Source organism: Homo sapiens, chromosome 7 (genome assembly GCF_000001405.40).
Source record: "Homo sapiens chromosome 7, GRCh38.p14 Primary Assembly".
In the NCBI taxonomy this organism is placed as follows: Eukaryota; Metazoa; Chordata; class Mammalia; order Primates; family Hominidae; genus Homo; species Homo sapiens.
The window spans coordinates 56,423,434-56,448,595 of record NC_000007.14 but is presented as its reverse complement, the minus strand read 5'-3'; the positions used below and the strand labels follow the sequence as shown (position 1 = coordinate 56,448,595).

The window sequence follows — 25,162 nt, the reverse complement described above, 5'->3', positions numbered from 1 at the left end:
CCTGAAGCAAAGGGCTGAGCCAGCCAAACACACGTCCTTCGGGCCGCCTGTCCCAGGCAGGAACACAGCTTCTGTCAATCAGGGCCCTGCAGGGCGGGGTCAGGATCCCTAGCCAATCAGAGGCGCTTGTGTGGAACTGTCCAATCAGGTGCCAGCCTCGGAGGAAGGGGCGGCCTTCCACCACCTGGCTGGGTGTTTGTTTCCGGACCCGCGGAGCTCAGTGTTGTGTGTCCGTTGCGTGTTTGGTGTCCATTGCTCTGTCCGGTTTTCTCCGCGAGGCTCCAAGTGACTCCGCCATTGCCTCCATGGCCCTGGGACCTGCAGGTACTGGAAGGTCCATTGGGAAGATGTCGGGACACCACAGAAGACAAGAACCAGTGAGTGTGCGGAAAGACTGTCCTGGGGGGTAGACCTGTGGTTGGAACGAGCTCTGGGGGGACCCGGGCCTTCTCGCGGTCCGCTGCAGGGACCAGGATTTGAGTCTCCGCCGGCGCAGCTCGGCTCTCAGTCTCCTTCGGCGCAGGGTGGGGCTGGGCGGCAGCCGGGAGCCTGGGCATCCCATCTCTACCCGTGCCTGCTCGGTGACTTCGGCTTGGCTCTAGCCCTCCTGGGGCAGCTCCACGCCCGCAACCATGCATTTCCTCAGGTTGTGCGGTGACCTCCTGGGGATCTTCAGTGGAGAATCCCGCCTCGGGGTGCCGCGTTCCTGGGTGGGAGGAGCTGTGGTCCGTGGGGTCCTCAGTCCCTCCTTTTTCCTGTGGAAAAAATAAACTGGGACGGGCGCGGTGGCTCACGCCTGTAAACTCAGCATTTTGGGAGGCCGAGGCGGGCGGATCACCTGAGGTCGGGAGTTCGAGACCAGCCTGACCAACAAGGAGAAACCCCGTCTCTACTAAAAATACAAAATTAGCCGGGGGTGGTGGCGCGCGTCTGTAATCCCAGCTGCTCCGGAGGCTGAGGCAGGAGAATCGCTTGAACCTGGGAGGCGGAGGTTGCAGTGAGCCGAGATCACACCATTGCACTCCAGCCTGGGCAACCAGAGCGAAACTCTGTCTCAAAAAAAAAAAAAAAAAAAAAAAAAGGTTGTGAATTCTACCTTTGTTGAGTGTAATGCTTTCTATGTGTCTATTAGGTGTAATTGTTTTATAGTGCTTTCAAGTCCTTTGTTCCCTTGTTTATATTTGGTTTTGCTTTGTTATTCATTACTGAAAGTAGAGTATTGAAGTATCCTGCTATTATTATATTACTGTCTATTTCTTAAATTCTGTCAGTGTTTGCTTTATATATGAGGGAACCCTGATTTTTATTTGTTTACCTATGTACGTCTGTATGTTTCATAGGTTCCCAGTGAATAGAAACCTTTTATTATTATTTAATGTTCTTTGTCTCTTCTGACAGTTTTGACGTAAGGTATATTTTACTACAAATAGTAATTTTTTACTTAAAAGGTATTTTGCCTAATATAATTGTGATCTCTCCTGCTCTCGTTTGGTTCATATTTGCATGTCATATCTTTTCCATCCTGCAACTGTGGACAGTTATGGCTAATCCTAGTAGATTGTCTTCCCTTCTTTTAACATCTTGGGTGAATTTGGGTCACACTAATTGTTATGTGAAGATGGATGTTGAATTGTGTAGAATTTGACGGCAGTATCGACCTGAGGAGAAGAAGATGGAAAGGAGTCTAGCAACTTAAGAATCTCACAGCATTCTCTGTGAGGTGACCTTTTTTCCTGTTGGTGGCTCAGTTTCCTTAGGCCATAAAGAAGATACTGAGGTCTGTGACAGCCTGTGACAGTATCAAGTTGTATCTGAACTTATTGAACTGTTTCCCCCCTTCCTTATTCGTTATTCATAGTTTGCTTTTCATGTGCATAAGTTGACTCATTTGTTTCCTGTTAGCATTTGGAACACCATATGGCCACCATAAGTCCTGACGAAATGACTTCTAATGAGGAGGGGGAAGGTCCATGTCCCACCTTCCTATGAAATTTTGGCCTATTCACAAATCTACCCCCACATAAGAGAAGTAATTATGTTCTGTAAAGAAGAGGTTGCTAAAAACCTTTAGCACGGTGTTTTGTGACTTAGAAGTTTTAAGTAGTCGTTCTTATATCTAAGCATTTATTAATTTTGGTAAGAACATTACTATATATTTCTGATGTCACTTTTACTGTTAAGAGGTTCCAGGCATCTGGCAGCCTGCCACTTCAGGATTTGAGTGAATCAGACCATCTAAATATAAATTAGAGACTTGTACTTGTATTTCCTGATTAAAAACATACTAACCTCTGTTTCACTATTGAAGAGTACTTTATAATGAATACAAAAAAATGTATATTAAATATCCAGTAGAGCATGCTAAAGTGAAAAAAAATAGTAATTTTTTACTTGCAAGGTATTTTGCCTAATATAATTGTGACCTCTCCTGCTCTTGTTTCATTCATATTTGCATGTAATGTCTTCCATCCTGCCAGTTTGTCTATTTTTGGTATTGGATCTAACGTGTTTGTCTTAGAGACAGGATATAGTTTCCTCGAGTTTTTATTTTTTAATCTCTATTTAATATATGTCCTTTGATAGGAAAGTTTAGTCCATGAATATTTAAATAATTTCCTGAAAGGGAAGGCCTTACTGTTGCCATTTTCTTACTTCTTTTATTTAATTTTTGTACCCAGTTTGTCCCTCTTCTGTCTTTGCATCTTGTTCATCTTTGTAGTGACATGCTTTGACTCCTTTCTTATTTTATATCTGAGTATTTTATTCATGGTTGCCATGGGGGTTATCTTAAACCTTTTTTTCTTTTTTTTTTTTGAGACAGAGTTTTGCTCTTGTTGCCCAGGCTGGAGGGCAATGGTGTGATCTTGGCTCACCGCACCCTCTGCCTCCCAGGTTCAGGCGATTCTCCTGCCTCAGCCTCCCCAGTAGGTGGGGTTACAGGCATGCACAACCATGCCCGGCTAATTTTGTATTTTTAGTAGAGATGGCTTTCTTCATGTTGGTCAGGCTGGTCTCGAACTCCCAACCTCAGGCCATCCGCCCACCTCGGCCTCCCAAAGTGCTGGGATTACAGGCATGAGTCACCGCGCCCGGCTATATTAAACTTCTTAATGTTATAGCAGTGCATCTTAAGCTGATAACATCTTAACTTAACTTCAGTTGTATACAAATAGTTTTTCTCATTATTTTCTACCCTCAACTTTGTTATTATTGTCACTAATTACAACTTTCTATTTTATATTTACATTAACAGATGTTTATTTCTATTTTTATGCTTTTGACGTACAACTTTTAGAGCATAATTAAAAGTGTTTTCTGCAGTATTATTATCCTACAAAATTTTATTTTTGTGTATGTGCCTATCTTTCCTGAGAGTCACCTATTTTTATCTGATTTTGTGTTGTTTTGTAGCATCATTTCATTTTCAATGGAAGAGACTCCCTTTAGCATTTCTTGTAGGGCAAGTCTATTAGTGATATACTTTTTAATCTCTGTTAGCCTTAGAAAATCTGTATTTTTCCCTCATTTGGAGGACGGTATTGCTGGTTATAGTATTCTTGCTTGGAAGTTTTTCTTCTTTCAGCTCTTTGATTATATTATCCAACTCTTTTCTAGCCTGTGAGGATTCTGTTCAGAAATCTACGAGTAATCTTACTGAAGCACTCTTACAGATAATTTATCACCTTTCTCTTGCTTCTTTCAAGATTCTCTCTTTGTGGCTTTTGAAACTTGGCTTATGATGTTTCTCATAGTGGGTTTCTTTGTGTTTAGTTGGAGTTTGTTGAGTTCTTTAAGTTTTAAGGTCTTTTTCCTTCCTTAAGTTTGATAATTTCTCAATCATTTTTGTATTCTGCAGCTCTACAATTTGTTTGCCTTATAGTTTCTATCTTTGTTGATCATTTCATTTTCCTGATTTTATTTTGTTGTCTATGTTGTGATTTACTCATCAAGTGCCATTAAGATGGTTACTTTAAATTTTTTCAGGCAATTTATACATTTTTTTTTTTTTGAGACAGGGTCTCACTGCTATCACCCAGGCTGGAGTTCAGTGGCATGATCACGGCTCACTGTAGCCTCAACTTCCCAGTCTCAGCTGTTTCTCCTACCACAGCCTCCTGAGTAGCTGAGACTACAGGCATGCCCCACCATGCCTAGCCAATTTTTTGTATTTTTAGTAGAGACAGGATTTTGCTATTTTGCCCAGGCTGGTCTCAAATTCCCAGGATTCAAGGGATGTGCCTGACTTGACCTCCCAAAGTGTTGGGCTTACAGGCGTGAACCACCCACAGCACCCAGCCATATCTTGGTTTCTTTGGGTTTGATTTCTGGATGTTTGTTTTCTTTTATTGATTGGGTCATGCTACCCTGATGCTTTGTATACATTTTAATCTTTGGTTGAGATGTAGGCATGTCCAAAAAAAAAAACCCGACACTTTTTGCAGTGTTATTAGTGTCCAGTCTTGTAAATTGACACCAGTTTTCTTTTTTTTAATTTTTATAGTTACATAGTAGGTGTATATATATATATATTTATGGAATATATGACATATTTTGATATGGGCATAGTTTGTGTAATAATCACCATCAGGGTAAATGTGGTATCTATGACCACAAAGATTTATCCTTTGTGTTACAAACAATCCACTTAACACTCTTTATTTTTAAATGTACAACTAAATAATTATTGATTATACTCACCCTGTTACACTATCAAATATTAGATCCTATTTTTTCTATTTTTTGTATCCATTACCTATCCTCACTCCCCTGACACACACTCACAGTACCCTTCCCAGTCTCTAGTAACTATCATTTTACTCTCTATGTTCATAAGTTCAATTGTTTTCATTTTTAGCTCCCACAAATAAGTGAGAACATATGATGTTTGTCTTTCTGTACCTGCCTTATTTCACTGAACATGATGACCTCCAGTTCCATCTATGCTGCTGGAAATTACAGGATCTCATTCTTTCTCATAACTAAATAGTACCCCATTGTGTATGCTTGCCACATCCTGTTTATCCATTTGTTTCTTGATGGACACATAGGTTGCTTCCAAATCTTTGCTATTATGAATAGTGCTGTAATAAACATGAGAGTGCAGATATCTCTTTGATATAATAATTTCCTTTTTTGGGGGGTGGTATATATCTAGCAGTGGGATTGCTGGATCATATGGTAGCTCTATTTTTAGTTCTTTGAAGAAGCTGCAAACTGTTCTTCATAGTGGTTGTACTAATTTACATTCCCACTAACAGTGTACAGGGGTTCCCTCTTCTTCACTTGCATGTCAGCATTTATTGCCTGTCTTTTGGATAAAAGCTATTTTAACTGGGGTGAGATGATATCTCATTGTAGTTTTGATTTGCATTTCTCTTATGATCAATGATATTGATTGAGCACCTTTTTATATATGTGTTTGCTATTTGTACATCTTCTTTGGAGAAATAGCCATTCAGATCTTTGGCCCATTTTTTAATTGGATTATTAGATTTCCCTATAGAGTTGTTTGAGCTCCTTATATATTCTGGTTATTAATCCCTTATCAGATGGATAGTTTGCAAAGACTTTTCCCATTCTGTGGATTGTCTTTTCACTTTTTTGCTGTGCAGAAGCTTTTTAACTTGATGTGATCTCATTTGTCCATTTTTACTTTGGTTGCCCCTGCTTATTGGGTATTGATTGCTCAAGAAATCTTTGCCCAGTGCGGTGTCCTAGAGAGTTTCTGCAAGTTTTTCATGTAGTAGGTTTATAGTTTGAAGACTTAGATTTAAGTCTTTAACCCATTTTTATTTGATTGTTGAATATGGCAAGAAACAGGGATCTAGTTTCATTCTTTTGCATGTGGATGTCCAGTTTTCTTAGCACCACTTATTGAAGAGGCTGTCCTTTCTCCAGTATATATTGTTGACACCTTTGTTGAAAATGAGTTTACTGTAGGTGCATGGATTTGTTTCTGGGTTCTCTATTCTGCTTCACTCGTCTATATGCCTGTTTTTATGCCAGTACCATGCTGTTTCGGTTACCATAGCTCTGTAGTATAATTTGAGGTCAGGTAATGTGATTCCTCCAGTTATTTTGCTTAGGAAATCTTTAGCTATTCTGAGTTTTTTGTGGTTCCATATACATTTTAGGATTATATTTTCTGTTTCTTTTCTTTTCTTTTTTGAGATGTAGTTTCACTCTTGTTGCCCAGGCTGGAGTGCAATGGCATGATCTCGGCTCAGTGCAACCTCTGCCTCCCAGGTTCAAGTGATTCTCCCGCCTCAGCCTCCCAAATAGCTGGGATTATAGGCATGAGCCACCACACTCGGCTAATTTTGTATTTTTAGTAGAGACTGGGTTTCTCCATGTTGGTCAGGCTGGTCTCGAGCTCCCAACCTCAGGTGATCCGCCCACCTCAGCCTCCCAAAGTGCTGAGATTACAGGCGTTAGCCACCATGCCCAGCCTATATTTTCTATTTCTATGAAGAATATCATTGGTATTTTGATAGGGACTGCATTGAATCCATAGTTTTGGGTGTAATATATACATTTTAATGATACTGATTCTTCCAGTATGTAAACATGAAATCTCCATTTTTTGTGTGTGCCCTCTTCAATTGCTTGTATCAATGTTTTTTCTTCTTCTTCTTCTTCTTTTTTTTTTTTTTGAGACGGAGTCTCTATCGCCAGGCTGGAGTGCAGTGGCATAATCTCGGTTCACTGCAATCTCCGCCTCCCAGGTTCAAGGCGGATCCTTCTGCCTCAGCCTGCCGAGTAGCTGGGATTACAGGCACACGCCACCACACCCAGCTAATTTTTTTGTATTTTTAGTAGAGACGGGGTTTCACCATGTTGACTAGGATGGTCTTGATCTCCTGACCTTGTGATCTGCACACCTCGGCCTCCCAAGGTGCTGGGATTACAGGCATGAGCCACCACGCCCAGTCTGCTTGTATCAGTGTTTTATATTTTCATTGTAGAGGTCTTTCACTTGGTTAATTTCTGGGTATTTTATTTTATTTGAAACTGTTGTAACTGGGATTACTTTCTTGATTTTTCAGATTGTGTGCTGTTGGCATATAGAAATGCTACAGATATTTGTAGGTTGATTTTGTATCCTGCAATTTTACTGAATTTGTCAGTCCTAATAGATTTTTGGTGGAGTTGTTAGGATTTTTCCAAATATAAGATTATATCATCAGCAAACAAGGATAATTTGACTTCTTTTCCAATTTGGATGCCCTTTATTTCTTTCTCTTATCTGATTGCTCTAGCTAAAACTTCCAGTACTATGCTGAATAACAGTAGTGAAAGTGGGCATCCTTGTCGTGTTCCAGATCTTAGAGGAAAGGCTTTCAGTGTTTCCTCATTCAGTATGATACTAGCTGTGGGTTTGTCACATACAGCTCTTATTGTGCTGAGGTATATTCTTTCTATCTCCAGTTTTTTGAGGGTTTGTATCATGAAGTAATGTTAAATTCCATCGAATGTTTTTTTCAGCATCAATTTAAATGATCATATGGTTCTTGTCCTTCATTCAGCTGATAATGATTACACATTGATTTGCATGTATTCAACCATCCTTGGGTCCCAGGGATAAGTCCCACTTGGTCACGATGAGTGATCTTTTAAATCTAATTTTGCATTTGGTTTGCTAGTATTTTGTGGAGGAGTTTAGCATCAATGTTCATCAGGGATATTGGCCTGTAATTGTCTTTTTTTTTGTTGTGCTTTTGTCTACTTTTGGTATCAGGGTAAGATGGGCCTTGTAGAACGAGTTTGGAAGTATTCCCTCCTCCTCTGTTTTTCAGAATAGTTTGAGAAGGATTGGTACAAATTCTTCTTTAAATGGCTGGCAAAATTCAGCAGTGAAGCTGTGGGGTCCCAGACTTTCCTTTGCTGGGAGACTTTTTATTACAGCTTCCATCTCATCATTTGTTATTGGTCTATTCAGGTTTTGGATTTCTTCATGGTTCAATCTTGGTAGGTTATATGTATCTAAGAATTTGTTCATTTCTTCTAGATTTCCCAGCTTTATTGGACTATAGTTGCTCATAGTAACCTCTAATGATTCTTTGAATTTCTGTGGTATCAGTTATAATGCGTCCTTTTTCATCTTTCATTTTATTCATTTGGATTTTCTCTTTTTCTTATTTACCCTGGCTAAACATTTTTCAATTTTCTTTATATTATCCAGAAACCAACTTTTGTTTTATTGACTTTTTGTATTTTCTTTATTTCAATTTCATTTATTGCTGCTCTGACTGTTGTTATTTCTTTTCTTCTACTAACTCTGTGTCTGGTGTGCTCTTGCTTTTCAGTTTTTTTTTTTAGACGGAGTCTTGCTCTGTCACCCAGGCATTGGCGCAATCTTGGCTCCACCTCAAGCAATTCTCCTGCCTCAACCTCCCGAACAGCTGGGATTAGAGGCACACACCACTACACCCAGCTAATTTTTGCATTTTTTATAGAGACAGGGTTTCACGATGTTGCCCAGGCTGGTCTTGAACTCCTGACCTCAGGTGATCCACCCACCTCAGCTTCCCAAAGTGCTGGGATTACAGGCATGAGCCACCGTGCCCAGCCACTTTTTAGTTCTTTAAGGTACAGCATTATGTTATTTATTTGAAGTTTTTCTACTTTTTTGACGTAGAAGCTCATGGGTATAAACTTGCCTGTTAGTACTGCTCTCACTGTATCTCATTTGTTTGATATATTGTGTTTCCATTATCATTTGTTTCAAGAAAGTTTAAAATTTCCTTCTTAATTTCTTCATTGACCCACTGTTGAAGTTAGTTTCTTTTTTTTTTTTTTTTTTAAGACAGAGTCTCGCTCTGTTCCCCAGGCTGGAGTGCAGTGGCACAATCTCAGCTCACTGCAACATCTGCCTCCTGGGTTCAAGCGATTCTCCTTTTGCAGCCTCCCGAGTAGCTTGGGACTACACGCCCAGCCAATTTTTGTTTGCTGACAGAGGACGTTTCACCATGTTGGCTAGGCTGGTCTTGAACTCCTGACCTCAAGTGATTTGCCCGCCTTAGCCTCTCAAAGTGCTGGGATTACACGTGTGAGCACCTGCACCCAGCCAATTCTGTCTTGAAATCTATTTTGTCTGATACAAGTATAGCTACTTCAGCCCATTTTTGGTTTCCATTTGCACAGAATGCCTTTTTCCATCCCTTAATTCTCAAACTGTGTGTGTCTTTACAGGTGAAGTGTGTTATTTGTAGGCAACAATTGGGCCTTTTTTTTCTTTTTCAGTTCAGTTACTCTATGTCTTTTGATTGGAGAGTTTAGTCCATTTATAGTCAAAGTTATTGATAAGTAAGGACTTGTTCCTGCATTTTGTTTGTTTTCTGGTTTGCGGTCTTTCTTCCTTAATTCCCTCCTTCCTGTCTTCCTTTTAGTGAAGGTGATTTCTCCAGTGGTATGTTTTAATTTCTTGCTTTTTATTTTTTGCATATCTATTGTATGTTTTCATATATAAGGTTACCATGAGGCTTGCAAACAATATCTTATAACCCATTATTTTAAACTGTTGACAACACTGATTGCATAAACAAGCAAAAAGAAAAGTAATGAAGTCTCTACATTTTAACTTTATTCTTCTGCTTCTTAACTTTTTGTTTCTATTATATCTGATTGTACTATGTCTTGAAAAGTTATCGTTATTATTTTTGGTCAGTTCATCCTATCATCTTTTGTCTTTTCTTTCTTCTCTTTCTCGATGGAGTCGCTCTGTCATCGGGCAGGAGTGCGATGGCACAATCTCAGCTCACTGCAGCCTCTGCCTCCCAGGTTTAAGCAATTCTCCTGCCTCAGCCTCCCGAGTAGCTGGGACTACAGGCACACACCACCACACCCAGCTAATTTTTGTATTTTTAGTAGAGACGGAGTTTCACCATGTTGGCTAGGATGGTCTCCATCTCTTGACCTTGTGATCCGTCCACCTCGGCCTCCCAAAGTGCTGGGATTACAGGTGTGAGTCACCGCGCCCAGCCCCCTTCAGCACTTTGACTATGCTGTGCCGCTCTCGTGGCCTGTAGGGTTTCCACTGAAAAGTCTGCTGCCAGACATATTAGAGCTCCATTGTATGTTGTTTCTTTTCTCTTGCTGCTTTTAGGATCTTTTCTTTATCTTTGACCTTTGCGTGTGTGATTATTAAATGCCTTGAGGTTGGATACTGATATATTTTTCTAGGTTTGGGGCATTATCTGGTATTATCCCTTTGAATAAACTTTTTTTTTTTTTTTTTTTTTTTTGGAAATGGAGTCTCACTCTTTCACCAAGGCCCGGACTGCAGTGGCGCTATCTCAGCTCACTGCAAGCTCCACCTCCCGGGTTCACGCCATTCTCCTGCCTCAGCCTCCCGAGTAGCTGGGACTACAGGTGCCCGCTACCGCGCCCAGCTAATTTTTTGTATTTTTATTAGAGGTGGGGTTTCACCGTGTTAGCCAGGATAGTTTCGATCTCCTGACCTCGTGATCCGCCCGCCTCAGCCTCCCAAAGTGCTGGGATTACAGGCGTGAGCCACCGCGCCCAGCCTGAATAAACTTTCTACCCCATCCTTGTCTCTGCCTCTTCTTTAAGGTTAATAACTCTTAGATTTGCCCTTTTGAGGCTGCTTTCTAGATCTTGTAGGTATGCTTAATTTCCTTTTTTGTTTTCTTGCCTTCTCTGACTATTTTCAAATGGCCTGTCTTCAAGCTTACTAATTCTTCCTTCTGCTTAATCAATTCTCCTATTAAGAGACTGAGGTATTCTTCTGTATGTCAATTGCATTTTTCAAATCCAGATTTTCTCCCTGATTCTTACTATTTCAATTTCTTTCTGAAATTTATCTGATAGAATTCTGAATTCTTTGTGTGTGTGTTATCTTGAATTTCTTTGAGTTTCCTCAAAACAGCTATTTTGAATTATCTGAAAGGTCACATAGCTCTGTTTATCTGGGATTGATCTCTCATGCTTTATTTAGTTCATTTGGTGAAGTCATGTTTTTGTGGACAGTCTTGTGGATGTTCATTTGTGTCTGGACATTGAAAAGAATGGGTATTTATTGTAGTCTTCTCAGTTTATGCTTGCTTATACCCATCTTCCTTAGGAAGATTTTCCAAGTATTTGAAAGGACTGGGGTGTTGTGATCTGCTTTTGGTCACTGCAGGTATATCTGCATGGTTGGGCACTCCAAGCCTAGTAACACTGTATTTTTGGCAGACTCATAGAGGCATGGTAGTCTTGAATAAGATCTGGAAGGATGCTCTGGATCAGCAAGCACAGACTCTTGTTGTCTTCCATTATTTTTCCAAAGAAATGGAGTCTCTCTCTCTCTCTGTGCTGAGCTTCCTGGAGCTATTGGATGGGTAACACAAGGACCCCTAGGACCCCTACCACTGGGACTATGCTGGGTCAGACCTAAAGCCAGCACAGCACTGGGTCTCACCCAAGAACTGCTGTAACCACTACCTGGCTACTGCCTATGTTTATTCAAGTCCCTAGGGTCATACAGTCCACAGGTGGTGAAGCCAGCCAAGCTTGTGTCCTTCACTTCAGAGGAGCAAGTTCCCCTAGGTCCCGATTTAGTCCAGAGATGCCTTCTGGGAACCAAGGCCTAGAGTTGGAAACATTAGAAATCTACTTGGTGCTGTATTCTACTGTGGCTGAGCTGGCATCCAAACCACAAGACAATGTCCTTCCTACTCTTCCCTCCCCTTTCCACAGGCAGAAGAGTCTCTCATATTCAGCACTCACAGGCCCACGGGAATACTATCAGGCTACCACCAATGTTCATGTAAAGCCCAAGGGCTCCTCAGTCAGCTTGTGGTGAATGCTGCTGGGCCTGGAACTCACCCTTCAGAGTGTGGGCTCCTCTTTACCTAGGGCAGGTCCAGAAATGCCACTGACGAGACCCCAAGAGCCTGCTAGGTGCTTTACCCCACTGTGGTTGAACTGGTACCTAAGCTGCGAGACCAAGTCCTTTTAACCCTTCCTCTGCCTTTCTGAAGCAGGAATCTCTGCTAGTAGCCACCCTAGCTGGGAGTGTGCTGGGTCACACTTGAGCCAGCTCATCTCAGCATCTCTTCCAAGCCCCATGGCATGTAATTTTTTTTTTTTTTTTTGAGACGGAGTCTCGCTCTTTCGCCCAGGCTGGAGTGCAGTGGTGCTGTCTCGGCTCACTGCAAGCTCCGCCTCCTGGATTCACGCCATTCTCCTGCCTCAGCCTCCCAAGTAGCTGGGACTACAGGCGCCCGCCACAGCGCCTGGCTAATTTTTTATATTTTTAGTAGAGATGGTGTTTCACCGTGTGAGCCAGGATGGTCTCGATCTCCTGACCTCGTGATCCGCCCGCCTTGGCCTCCCAAAGTGCTGGGATTACAGGCGTGAGCCACTGCGCTCGGCCTACTGCTACTAATTATTCAGGGCCCAAGAGGTCTTTAGTCACCAGGTGGTGAATCCTGCCAGGACTGGGTCTTTCCATTCAAGGGAGTGGGATTTCTTCTGGCCCTGGTTGTGTCTAGAAATGTCATACAGGATCCAGGACCTGGAATGGGGACCTCACGACTCTGCCCAGTGCCCTATCCTACCGTGGCTGAGCTTGTATCCATGTTGCAAGACAAAGTTCTCTTTTTCTCTCTATTCTCAAGTGGAAGGAAGTAGTCTCTTTCAGAGTGGTAGGCTGCACTGTCTGGGGTTAGGGGAGGGGTAGCACAAGTACTCCCTTAGCTGGTGTCTCAATAGGTCACATGATCCCATATTTACTGGCTCTGAGCCCAGCACAGCGCCAGGACTTGCCTAGTAGTTGCAGTCCTTATGGCCTAGACTTACTGTCGGGTTTATTTATTACTGATTTCTAATTTGATTGCTCTGTGGTCAGGGACCATACTTTGTATGACTTAAATCCTTTTGACTTAATTCTTTTATGAAGATTTACTGTATGGCCTAGAATATGATCTGTTTTGCTAAGTGTTCCATGGGTCCTTGAGAAGCATAGTGCTCTTCAAGTCTACTCTAGTCTTACTGATTTTCTGCCTCCTTGTTCTGTCATGTATTGAGTAAGCGATATTGAAATCTCAGACTATACCTGTGAATTTGTCAATTTCTTCTATCAGTTTTTGCCTCATGTATTTTGAAGCTGTTACGTTAGTAGGTACATAAACATTTAGGATTATGTGCTCTTGATTAATTGAACCATTTATCATTATGAAATAATTTTGTTGATAGCTAGTAATATTTTTTGCTCTGAAATCTACTTTGGTATTAATATAACCATTTCTGCTAGGCTTTATTTGTTAACTGTTAGCATGGTGTATATTTTTCCATCCTTTTAACTAATTTGCATCTTTACATTTAAAGTATTATTATTATTATTTTTTTTTTTTGAGATGGAGTCTCACTCTGTCACCCAGGCTTGAGTGCAGTGGCGGGATCTTGGCTCATTGGAAGCTCTGCCTCCTGGGTTCACGCCATTCTCCTGCCTCAGCCTCCTGAGTAGCTGGGACTACAGGCACCTGCCACCACGCCCAGCTAATTTTTTGTATTTTCAGTAGAGACAGGGTTTCACCGTGTTAGTCAGGATGATTTCAATCTCCTGACCTCGTGATCCGTCTGCCTCAGCCTCCCAAAGTGCTGGGATTACAGGCGTGAGCCACTGCACCTGGCCTACATTTAAAGTATTTCTTATAGGTAGCAGGGAGTAGGATCTTGCTTTTTTATACAGTTTGACAATCTGCCTTTTAATTTAGGTTATTAGGCTGGTTTCATTTATAATGTGATTACTGATATAGTTAAGTTTATCTGTTATCATACAGTTTCATTTCCATTAGTCCCAGCTGTTCTTTGTTTTCTTTTCTTCTTTTTCTGCTTTCTTTTCAATTAGCCATGTTTTTTTTTTTTTTGAGATGCAGTCTCACTCTGCCACCCAGGCTGCAGTGCAACGGCATGATCTCTGTTCACTGCAACCTCGGCCTCCTGGGTTCAAGCGATTCTCCTGCCTCAGCCTCCCAAGTAGCTGGAATTACAGACGCCTGTCACCACACCTGGCTAATTTTTTGTATTTTTAGTAGAGATGGGTTTTCACCACATTGGCCAGGCTGGTCTCGAACGCCTGACCTCAGGTGATCTGCCCCCACTTGGCCTCCCGAAGTGCTGGGATTACAGGCGTGAGCCACTGCACCTGGCCAGTCATGTAATTTTATGATTGTTTTATCTCTCTCTTTTGGCTTATTAGCTATAAGTCTGTTTTTGCTATCTTTGTGATTTCATTACAATTTGTACTATATGATTTTATCTTATCACAGTCCACCTTCAGGCAGTATTATACCATATCGTATATGGCATAAGAAAATTAGAATAGTATAATTTCATTTCCTCTTTCCCAGCCAGATCCTTCCTGGATTTGTGGGATTATAGTTTTCATTAAGTTTAGAAAATTTCTGGCCACCTGCTCTCTATATTTTGTCTGTCTCTCTCCCTTTCTCTTTGGGGACCTGTATATTACTGCTTAAAGTTTTCTCGTAGTTCTCTGATGTCTCAAATTTATGAATCTTCTCTTTTGTGATGTCTAGTCTGTATTCATTTCCATCCAGTATAGTTTTCATTTCTGACATTTTAATTTGAATCTCTACACATACAGTTTGCTTTCAGAAAATATCTCCCATGTCTCTGCTTGAGATTTATTTTGGGACACAGTTGAGTTACTTATACACAGCTTGATATTTCTGGTCTTGCTTTATGGTTTGGTCTAATTTTCCACTTCTGAGGCAAGGTGTTTCCAATAACTCTGTTCATTGCCCTGTGAAGCCCGAGTTTTTCCAGTATTGCTCATAGGAATGGACACTCTTCCTTACACATTGTGAGCAACAGGCACTATTTTTCACTGTTTCTAATTTTTTAAAGATTTTTTTCCCCTGGTCTCAGGTAGTTTCCTAGCACACATGTACTGTTCATCACTCTGCTATTGGTTTTTTGTGCTTCATCATTCCAACTCAGAGAATCTGGTGGACTCTACCTCAGTTTTTTTTCTCCCTGTGTCATGGCATGGAAACTTTGTCAAGTCAGGGAGCTGGGTTGTTTGTAAGGCTTACTTCATTTGTTTTCTCTTACAGGGATCATTATCTTTGTTACCTGAAGTCACTTTCTTTTTTTCTGGAGAGTCTTGCTCTGTTGCCCAGGCTGGAATGCAGCGGCACGATCTCGGCTCACTACAACCTTCACCTCCTGGGTTCAAGTGATCCTTCTGCCTCAGCCTCCCGAGCAACTGGGACTATGGGTTTGCGCCACTACACCCAGCTAATTTTTGTATTTTTAGTAGATATGGGGTTTCACCATGTTGGCCAGGATAGTCTCGAACTCCTGACCTCAGGTGATCCGCCTGCCTCGGCCTTCCAAAGTGTACCTGAACTCCACTTTCTTGAAAATCATTGTATAATATATTTTGTCTTTTTTGTTTTTGATTGTTTCAGACAAGAAGGTAAATCAGTACCTGTTTCTCCATCATGGCCAGAAGCAGATTGCAGGAGAGCTTCAGCACTTACCACAGACTGGCTAGAATGCTCTTCTACCCCCTTTACTTAACTGCTTCCTTCTCATCCTTTATTTCTCAGTGTAGCCGTCTTTTCATCAAGGAAATCTTCCCTGAGCCCAGTATACATCAGATTGTATGTACCATAGAACTGTTTTCTTCCAGTATCTATCTGAATTTGTAATTTTCACTTTTATTGTCTTTGTTCTTCACTACACTGAAAGCTGAGCAAGAGCAGAGGTATTGTCTGTTGTATCTGCAAAGCTCAGCAGACCACATGTTAGGAACTTAGTCCATATTTGTTAGGTGTATGGATGGGTGACTTAAAATGCACAGTCCTTTTTATGCAAAAAGTACTCATATTTTATTTCCACCCTGTTTTCTCCCTCATGTAGATTCTGTTAGCCTATCGAAAATGCAAGATGCAGTTCTTTCATGGGAACACTTATTAGAACTTAAGAATAATCATTGTGAACAACTTACAGTAAATATTAAACAAATGGAAAATATGGTTGGTGTACTACAAAAGGAGCTATGTGAAGCAAAAGAAACACAATTACAGTTAGAGCATGAAAAAGGTCAATGGGAACAAGAACGCTACAGTTTGAGGTATGACATTTGAGTTTTAAATAAATATTTTAACTGTCTATACTAAAGATATGTAAGAATTTTTGCAATTGCTGACTCTCTGGGGCTTAATGGGGAGAAAATGTCTTGCACTTGTGGAATATGAAATTCTTGGAAATAAGGTAACAAATTTTTAACTGTGAATTCTTCTAATAATTGTATATTTTAAATCGTGATTTTAATGGCTGTATGGAAGTCTACCATATGGGAACCTCAATATTTAACAAATTGAATTTGGGGTTTGAAATTATTTTGTGTTAGAATTAATGCTGTGAGGAACATCTTTTATTCTTACTATTTTTAGACACAGGGTTTTGCTCTGTCGCTGAGGCTGGAGTGCAGTAGTGTGATCATAGCTCACTGCAACTTTGAACTTTTGTGCTCAAGGGATCCTGCCTCAACCTCCTAAGTAGCTGGCACTACAGACACACGCCCCCATGCCCTACTAACTTTTTAAGTTTTTCATTGAGACAAGGTCTCACTGTCTTGTCCAGGATGATCTCTAAGTCATGGCTTCAAATAATCCTCCTGCTTCGGCCTCCCAAAACATTGGGATTACAGGCGTGAGCCATGATATACAGCCCAGAACGTCTTTTATCTAAGTCACTTTCTACATTTCTAATTATTTACTTTGAATCAAGTCTTCAATACAGAATATTTTGGTTAAAATACAAGAACTTTTTTATAAAAGGCCTTGGATTAATATTTCTAAATTGTCCTCAAGGATGTTTGTATTATTTTACAGTTCAACCAACAGAGCATAAAATGGCCACTTGTCTCAACCCAGAATACTTTTTAAAAACGTTATACAGTTTTATTCTTCTTTTTACTCTCCCTTTAATTTTTTTTATTTCAATACCTTTAGGAGTACAAGTGGTTTTTGGTTACATGGATGAATTGTGTACTGGTGAAGTCTGAGATTTTAGTGTACCCATCACCCAAATAGTATACATTGTAGCCCAATAGGTAGTTTTTGTCTCTCAATGCTCTTATGCTTTTCTCCCTTCTGAGCCTCCAATGTCATTATACCACTCTGTCAGCTTTCACATATGCGTAGCATAGCTCCCACTTGTAAGTGAGAACACGTGGTATTTGTTGTTCCGTTCCTGAGTTACTTCACTTAGAATAATGGCCTCCAGCTCCATCAAGTTGCTGCAAAAGACATTCTTTCATTCTTTTTTGTGGCTGAGTAATATTCTGTGATATATATATGTATATATATTCCACTCATCAGCTAATGCACACAGGTTGATTCCACATCTTTGCATATTGTGAATTGTCCTGCAATAAACATATGCATGCAGGTGTTTTTTTGACATAATGGTTTCTTTTCCTTTGAGTAGATACCCAGAAGTGGGAATGCTGAATTGAATAGTAGGATCTACTTTTAGTTCTTTGAGAAATCTCCATACTGTTTTCCATAGAGGTTGTACTAATTTGCATTCTCACCACCACTGTATAAGTGTTCTCTTTTCACCACATCCACACCAACATCTATTGCTTCTGATTTTTAATAATGGCCATTCTAGCTGCAGTGAGGTGATATATCATTGTTGTTTTATTTTGCATTTCCCTGATGATTAGTGATATTGACCATATTTTTATATGCTTGTTGACCATTTGTACATCTTCTTTTGAGAAATGTCTATTCATGTCATTTGCCCACTTTTTAATGGAATTATTTGTATTTTCCTGCTTATTTGTTTGAGTTTCTTGTAGATTCTAGATATTAGTCCTTTATCTAGTTCGTGATTTGCAAATATTTCCCCCCATTCTATAGGTTGTTAGTTTACTCAGATGATTATTTCTTTTGCTGTGCAGAAACTTTTCAGTTTAATTATTAATTAATTAGTTAAATTATTTGTCACATTTGCTTTTAGATTCTTCATCGTAAATCTTTTGCTTAGGCCAATGTTTTCAGGTATCAGATTTAGGCCTTTAGTCCATCTTGAATTAATTTTTATTTTATATATGGTGAGAGATAGGGATCTAGTTTCATTCTTCTACATGTGGCTATCCTATTTTCCCAGCACCATTTATTGAATAAGGTGTCCTTTCTCCAGTTCATGTTTTTGTATACTTTGTCAAAGAATATTTGGTTGTAAATGGCTTTATCTGTGGGTTGTCTATTCTGTTCCATTGATGTATGTATCTACTCTTATACTAGTACCATGCTGTTTTTGTTACTGTGGCCTTATAGTATAATTTGAAGTCAGGTAATTTGATGCCTCCAGACTTTTCGTTGTTGTTGTTGTTGTTTTGCTTAGTATGTCTTTTGCTGTTCAGGCTCTTTTGTGGTTTTACATGAATTTCAGCATTTTTTTTTTCTAATTCTGTAAAGAGTGACATCGGTATTATGATGGGAAATGCCTTGAATCTGTAGGCTCCTTTGGGCATTAGGGTCATTTTCACAATATCAATTCTTGCAGTCCATGATCATAGGATGTATTTCACTTCGTGTCATCTGTGATTTCCTTCAGCAGTGTTTTCTAGTTATCTTTATATAGATCATTCATCTCCTTCATTAGTATATTTCTAGGTATTTTACATTTTTGCAGCCATTGTAAAAGGGATTGGGTTCTTGATTTGACTCTCAGCTTGGTCATAGTTGGTGTATATGGGTGCTACTGATTTGGATTCATTGATTTTGTAACCTCAGACTTCACTGCATTCATTTATCAAATCTAGGAGTGTTTTGTAGGCATCTTTAGGGCTTTCTAGGTATAAGATCGTGTCATTGGCAGAGATAGCTTAACTTTCTCCTTTCCAATTTGGAATTCCTTTATTTCTCTTGCCCAATTGCTCTGCCTAGGATTTCCAAGTTTTATTTTTTATTTTATTTTTTTATTATTATTATTTTTGAGATGGAGCCTCACTGTGTCACCCAGGCTGGAGTGCAGTGGCGTGATCGCAGCTCGCTGCAACCTCCGCCTTCTGGGTTCAAGCGATTCTCCTGCCTCAGCCTCCCTGGCAGCTGGGGACACAGCTGCGTGCCACCATGCCTGGCTAATTTTTTGTATTTCTTTTTTAGTAGAGATGGGGTTTCACTGTGTTAGCCAGGATGGTCTCGATCTCCTGACCTTGTGATCTACCCGACTTGGCCTCCCAAAGTGCTGGGATTACAGGTGTGAGCCACCATGCCCAGCTGGGACTTCCCAGTTTTATTAATATACGTGAAATAAAAACTAAAACGGAAAGTGAGTAATGATTAGTTTATTTCACATCTCTCTCTCCTATACAGATACAATTAATTCAAAGTTCTATGTTGAAAACACATGTTGGCTGGGCGCGGTGGCTCACGCCTGTAATCCCAGCACTTTGGGAGGCCAAGGTGGGCGGATCACGAGGTCAGGAGATTGAGACCATCCTGGCTAACACGGTGAAACCCCGTCTCTACTAGAAATATAAAAAATTAGCCAGGCATGGTGGCAGGTGCCTGTGGTCCCAGCTACTCAGGAGGCTGAGGCAGGAGAATGGCGTGAACCCGGGAGGCGGAGCTTGCAGTGAGCCGAGATCGCGCCACTGCACTCCAGCCTGGGCGACAGAGGGAGACTCAGTCTCAAAAAAAACAACAACAAAAAAAAAACACGTTATTCTTTATTGTTTAAATATTAGATCCTATCTTGTCACAAAAGGAATTTTAAAATTGTTTATAAAATACATAAGAATCAAGAAGATAAGTGGAAAGTGTTACCAAAAAATAAACATAAAAAGTATTGGTTAACACAAGGGTCCCCAACCCCCAGGCCACGGACCAGTACCAGTCCATGGCCTATTAGGAACCAGGCCACACAGCAGGAGGTGAGCGGCAAGTGAGCAAGCAAAGCTTCATCTGTATTTACAGCCGCCCCCCATCACTTACATTACCACCTGACCTCTGCCTCCTGTTAGGTCAGCAGCACCATTAGATTCTCATAGGAGCGTGAACCAAATCCTACTGTAAGCTGCACACATTGGAGATCTAGGTTGTGCTCTCCTTATGAGAATCTAATGCCTGATGATATGTCCCTGTCTCCCATCACCCCCAGATGGAGCTGTCTAGTTGAAGGAAAACAAGCTCAGGACTTTCACTGATTCTACATCATGTGAGTTATATAATTAATTATTTCATTATATGTTACAATGTAATAATAATATAAATAAAGTGCACAATAAATGTAATGTGCTTGAATCATCCCTAAACCAGCCCCCTCTCCCCCAGGTCCATGGAAAAATTGTCTTCCACAAAATCAGTCCCTGGTGCCAAAAAGACCGGGGACAGCTGGGTTAACAGATATTAGACCCCATTGCCTTGTATTGGATTATAGTAATCTGCAGATATATATTGTGTGACTGACATCCGTTGGTGCCATCTTTTTTTTTTTTTTTTTGAGACGGAGTCTCACTCAGTCACCCAGGCTGCCTGAGTGCAGCAGCCTGATCTCGGCTCACTGCAACCTCCACCTCCCAGGTTCAAGCAATTCACCTGTCTCAGCCTCCCAAGTAACTGTGACTACAGATGCCTGCCACCAGCCCTGGCTAATTTTTGTATTTTTAGTAATGATGGGGTTTCACCTTGTTGGTCAGGCTGGTCTCGAACTCCTGACCTTGGGTGATCTACCCGCCTTGGCTTCCCAAAGTGCTGGGATTACAGGCTTGAGCCACCGCGCCCGGCCCGATGGAGCCATCTTGCACTGTAAATCATTTTAGGGATACCTGCAGTATTTCATGAAAATTAAAATTTATTTCTAGTGAATTTACAAAGTTGTTTATAAGTAGTATGTTCTTTTTAATTAGTTAATTTGAAATGATCTGTCCTAATTGAGTTATTATGACTATGTGAAAAATAGGTAATTTTCTTTTTCTTTTTTTTTTTTTTTTTTTTTTGAGAGGGAGTCTCGCTCTGTCGTCCAGGCTGGAGTGCATTGGTGCCATCTCAGCTCACTGCAAGCTCCGCCTCCCAGGTTCACGCCATTCTCCTGCCTCAGCCTGCCGAGTAGCTGGGATCACAGGCACCCTCCACCACACCCAGCTAATTTTTTTTTGTATTTTTAGTAGAGATGAGGTTTCACCGTGTTAGCCAGGATGGTCCCAATCTCCTGACCCTGTGATCCGCCCACCTCAGCCTCCCAAAGTGCTGAGATTACAGGCGTGAGCCACGGCGCCCTGCCAAAAAGAAGTAATTTGCAACGTGTAACTATACTAAATAATTTCCAATATTCTTTTCCATAACATTTATCAGAATTGCTAATAACAGAAACTCACCAATTAGCAGGATGTTTTTTCTTCACTACCTTTCAAGTATATTTATCCCTTGGAAGAGACTGAAGTGAGAAATTAAAAACATGAGAACTAGAAAGGAAAAATAGTCAAGAACATAGAAATTTTATTTGAATAATAAACACTGCGTAGGAAGAGCCAGATAACAAAATAAACTTTTTATTTTTTAAGAAAACAAATTTTAATATGTTTTACTGTAGAATGACCTTAAAAGAAGAAGAAAAGGGAAGAAATGCTGATATATTGCCTAAAAAAGACAGTGAACAGTTAAAAAGAAAAGAAAAGGAATGTGGGAAAGAAGTTGAAACAACAACTCAAACAGACTCTGAAATCACTGGTCACAGAATTGAGGACATTAGGAAAGAATTTGGATCAGGTAAATTAATTTTTGGTGAAAACTTTATATTTCTAACTTTATATTTCATCAGTATTACTTATAATATTCCTTTGATGTAATGTATATAATTTAGTTTCAAAACATACCAAGACTTATTTAATCTTAAAAAGGAAGTATGACATTTATAGCTATTTATTGTAAACCTTGGCATCTCTGCCTGTGATGTTCGGTCTTAGATGCTCAAACTATCTCTTATGTTTTCTGGATGAAGGAATGGAGGATAAATTGAGTTTAATCACATAAATATTTGTGTATTTTTTATGTTAAAATACAGGCTCTATAGCTTTGAGACTATAACAAAGCTAGTTAAATGTTTTGAAAGAAATTTTATTACACAATACTGTATTTTTCTGTAGGTAAGAACTGTTTTTCCTCTTTGAGAAATTTAGCTGTCATGTATGCAATTAAAGTTTGAGTAATTCCTGAGGGATAAAAGTCCTTGTGTTTTAATAGGCTACTTTTTTTTTTTTAACAGTTTTACAAAAAAGGTTCTGTTCTTTTAGATTTTCTTTTTCAATGCTATTAGACCAAAAATGTAATGTATGTCTAGGTTGTGCAGAAGCGAAGCGATACCCACAAGCAACTTTCTGAAGAGCAGAATGCCAGAATATTACAAGATGAGATTCTGACCAGTAAGCAAAAGGAGGTCGAAGGGGCTCAAAAGAAAATGAATTCTGAGGTATTTTCTTTAGTCATTTTCAAATATGTTTTTGTATGTGTATATATTTGAAAAACCAACTCTATGTACCTTGGAAAATATAAAGTATTTTTAAATTATATATATATATATATATACACACACACACACACACACACACACATCCTATGTGTTTGTGTATCTATATATAGAATATACACTTGTGTGTGTGTGTGTAGGATAAAGCCATATTCTTAATTCAGCTCCATTAGTCTGCAGCAGTGAAGTAGTGACATTCACAATGGCCTCAATCCAAAGAAGAAGCATTTGATATTTTTTATAAGAATTGATGATCTTTCCATAATCTCAAAATTTTTGGTACTAACAACAGACATTCTAGTTTTTGGACATTGTTTTATCTTCTCAAAATATTAATGGAGAAGTCAGTTTATTATTTTCACTGATAGATAAGGAGGAAATGTATAGCCAGTTTAGAGGCCATATTATGGATGTCATTCTTCTTACTTTTGAAGAACTTAAAAGTTTTCTCCAAGTAGTATCTAATTTCAATGCAAAGGGCTTTGAAAACAATGATGTAGAATAATATACATTTAGTGATAATTTATTGGTAAGTGTTTTGTTTCTGGAAAAATAGTTCAGTGTATTTCCCCCTATTTCACACATTACTGTTTCAAACATTATAAAGAGGAAATAAAAGTTATTACAATAGCAAATAATCTCATGATTTTTTAAGAAGATCTCTATAAATTTTACCATTGGTATTTTTATATAAGAGGCTTCTTTTGTATTTATATATTTACACCACAGAAGTAACTGCAATTTGATGGAGGAGGACTAGAAGTAGAATCAGAAGACCTGGGGAAAATCCTGCATCTTGCATATATTTCAGTCTCTCCTCTTCAGAATTGCGACCTTAAATGAGTTCAGTAATGTATGTAAAAGTGCAATGCTTAGATGTAGAAGTGTAAAATGTAGAAATGTACAATGCTTAGATTTAACATTTATGAATAAGTGTAATCTTTATAACTTACAATAAAATTGTTAGAAAAGTAGAATATCTATAGAACATTATCAGGAAAAAGGAACTTAGAGAACTTTGAGAAATTTCTTCAGTCCAAATAAATGCAGAACTAAGAGTCTTACAATGGGGTGGTGTATAGGTTAGATATCAGATTTTAAAATTTTTAAATTTTAAAAATGTAGTCAAATGTATCAATCTCATATTTTATGCCGCTGGGTTTTTTGTAATTCAGAGAAAGGCTTTGTCAATTCTGAGAGTCTTAAAAATCCTCTAGTGGTTTATTTTTTACTTTTATTGATTCATTGTCTTCAAATAGATTTTTTTAACTTTTGGGAATTTACACTCTGAGGTTTGAAATTTTGATTTAATATTTTTTTCAGTTAAATATCCACTTATGGGAATCCTTTCATTGTACAAATATACAGGTTATTCTTTAATTTCAGAAGAAACCATGATATGTCATTCTATTGAGTGCTAAGTTTCCTTTGTTTACTTAGATTTCTCAAAGCCATGAGAAAGAAGAAGACCTGTTGCATAAAAATAGTATGTTGCAGGAAGAAATTGCCATGCTAAGACTGGAACTAGACACAATAAAACATCAGAACCAGCTGAAAGAAAAGAAATATTTGAAGGATGTTGAAAGTGTGAAATAAAAGAATGACAACCTTCAAAATATGATAAAACTGAATGAGGAAACATCAACAAAAATAGTATTTCAGTACAGTGGACAGCTTAGCATTTTGACAGCTAAGAATAAAACTCAGTTCTCAACTTGAGAATGTAAAACACAACATGGAAAGACTGGAAATGGAAATTCAGTCATATCGATGCAGGCTGGCTGCTGCCGTACATGATTGTGATCAAAGTCAGACAGCATAAGAAAACCTAGAACTTGCTTTCCAGAGAACAGGACATGAATGGGTTCATTTACAGGAGAAAATGAATTCTGATATGTCTAACCTAAAAGATAACAGATTGTTTCTGAAAAAACTCTCTAATGCTGACAGTAAAATTAACAGCCTAAAAATTAAGTTTCATCATGCAAGAGAAACACTCAGAGAAAAGACGTCAGTTTTAGAATGTTTCCAAAGAGACCTTGGCCAAACACAGTGTCAAAAGAAAGAAATTGAACGAATGTATAAAAATGAACAAAGCAAAGTAAATAAATACGCTGAAGAAGCAGGAATCTATAGAGGACAGATGTGCTCAACTACAAAGTGAAAATAGGTTGCTTCAACAGCAACTGGATGATGCCCACAAGAAAGCTGACAATCAAGAAAAGACAATCAGTACTATCCAAGACCAAATCCATGCCGTTGTAAAAAAATCTAGCTGGGAGTGAAATGCAGAGTCTTCTGCTAGAAGAGAAAAACAAAGACTTAATCAATGTATGTAATAATTTGAAAGAAAGAATATATCAATGTGAAAAAGAGAAAGAAAAAAAAGTAAGTACCAAGAAAGATATTTTTCAAACTGAAAGAAAGAAAATTTAAAGTAATATTTGGTTATGCTAAATGTTATATATAGTTGAATATAAAAGTATGTAGAATAGGCTGGGTGCAGTGGCTCATGCCTGTAATCCCAGCACTTTGGGAGGCCAAGGCGGGCGGATCACCTGAGGTCGGGAGTTCGAGACCAGCCTGACCAACATGGAGAAACCCCATCTCAACTAAAAATACAAAATCAGCCGGGCGCAGTGGC

General features: G+C 39.3%; 1 pseudogene across 1 annotated transcript; it reads left to right on the top strand.

Moving 5' to 3' along the window:
* Positions 1–220: 220 nt before the first annotated feature.
* LOC650226 (ankyrin repeat domain containing 26 pseudogene) lies at positions 221–24,892 on the top strand (annotated as a pseudogene). The gene is made up of 6 exons (NR_029420.1): positions 221–377; positions 15,895–16,108; positions 20,155–20,211; positions 21,586–21,761; positions 22,333–22,461; positions 23,959–24,892. The product of NR_029420.1 is annotated as an ankyrin repeat domain containing 26 pseudogene (transcript).
* The last annotated feature ends 270 nt before the right edge of the window (positions 24,893–25,162 follow it).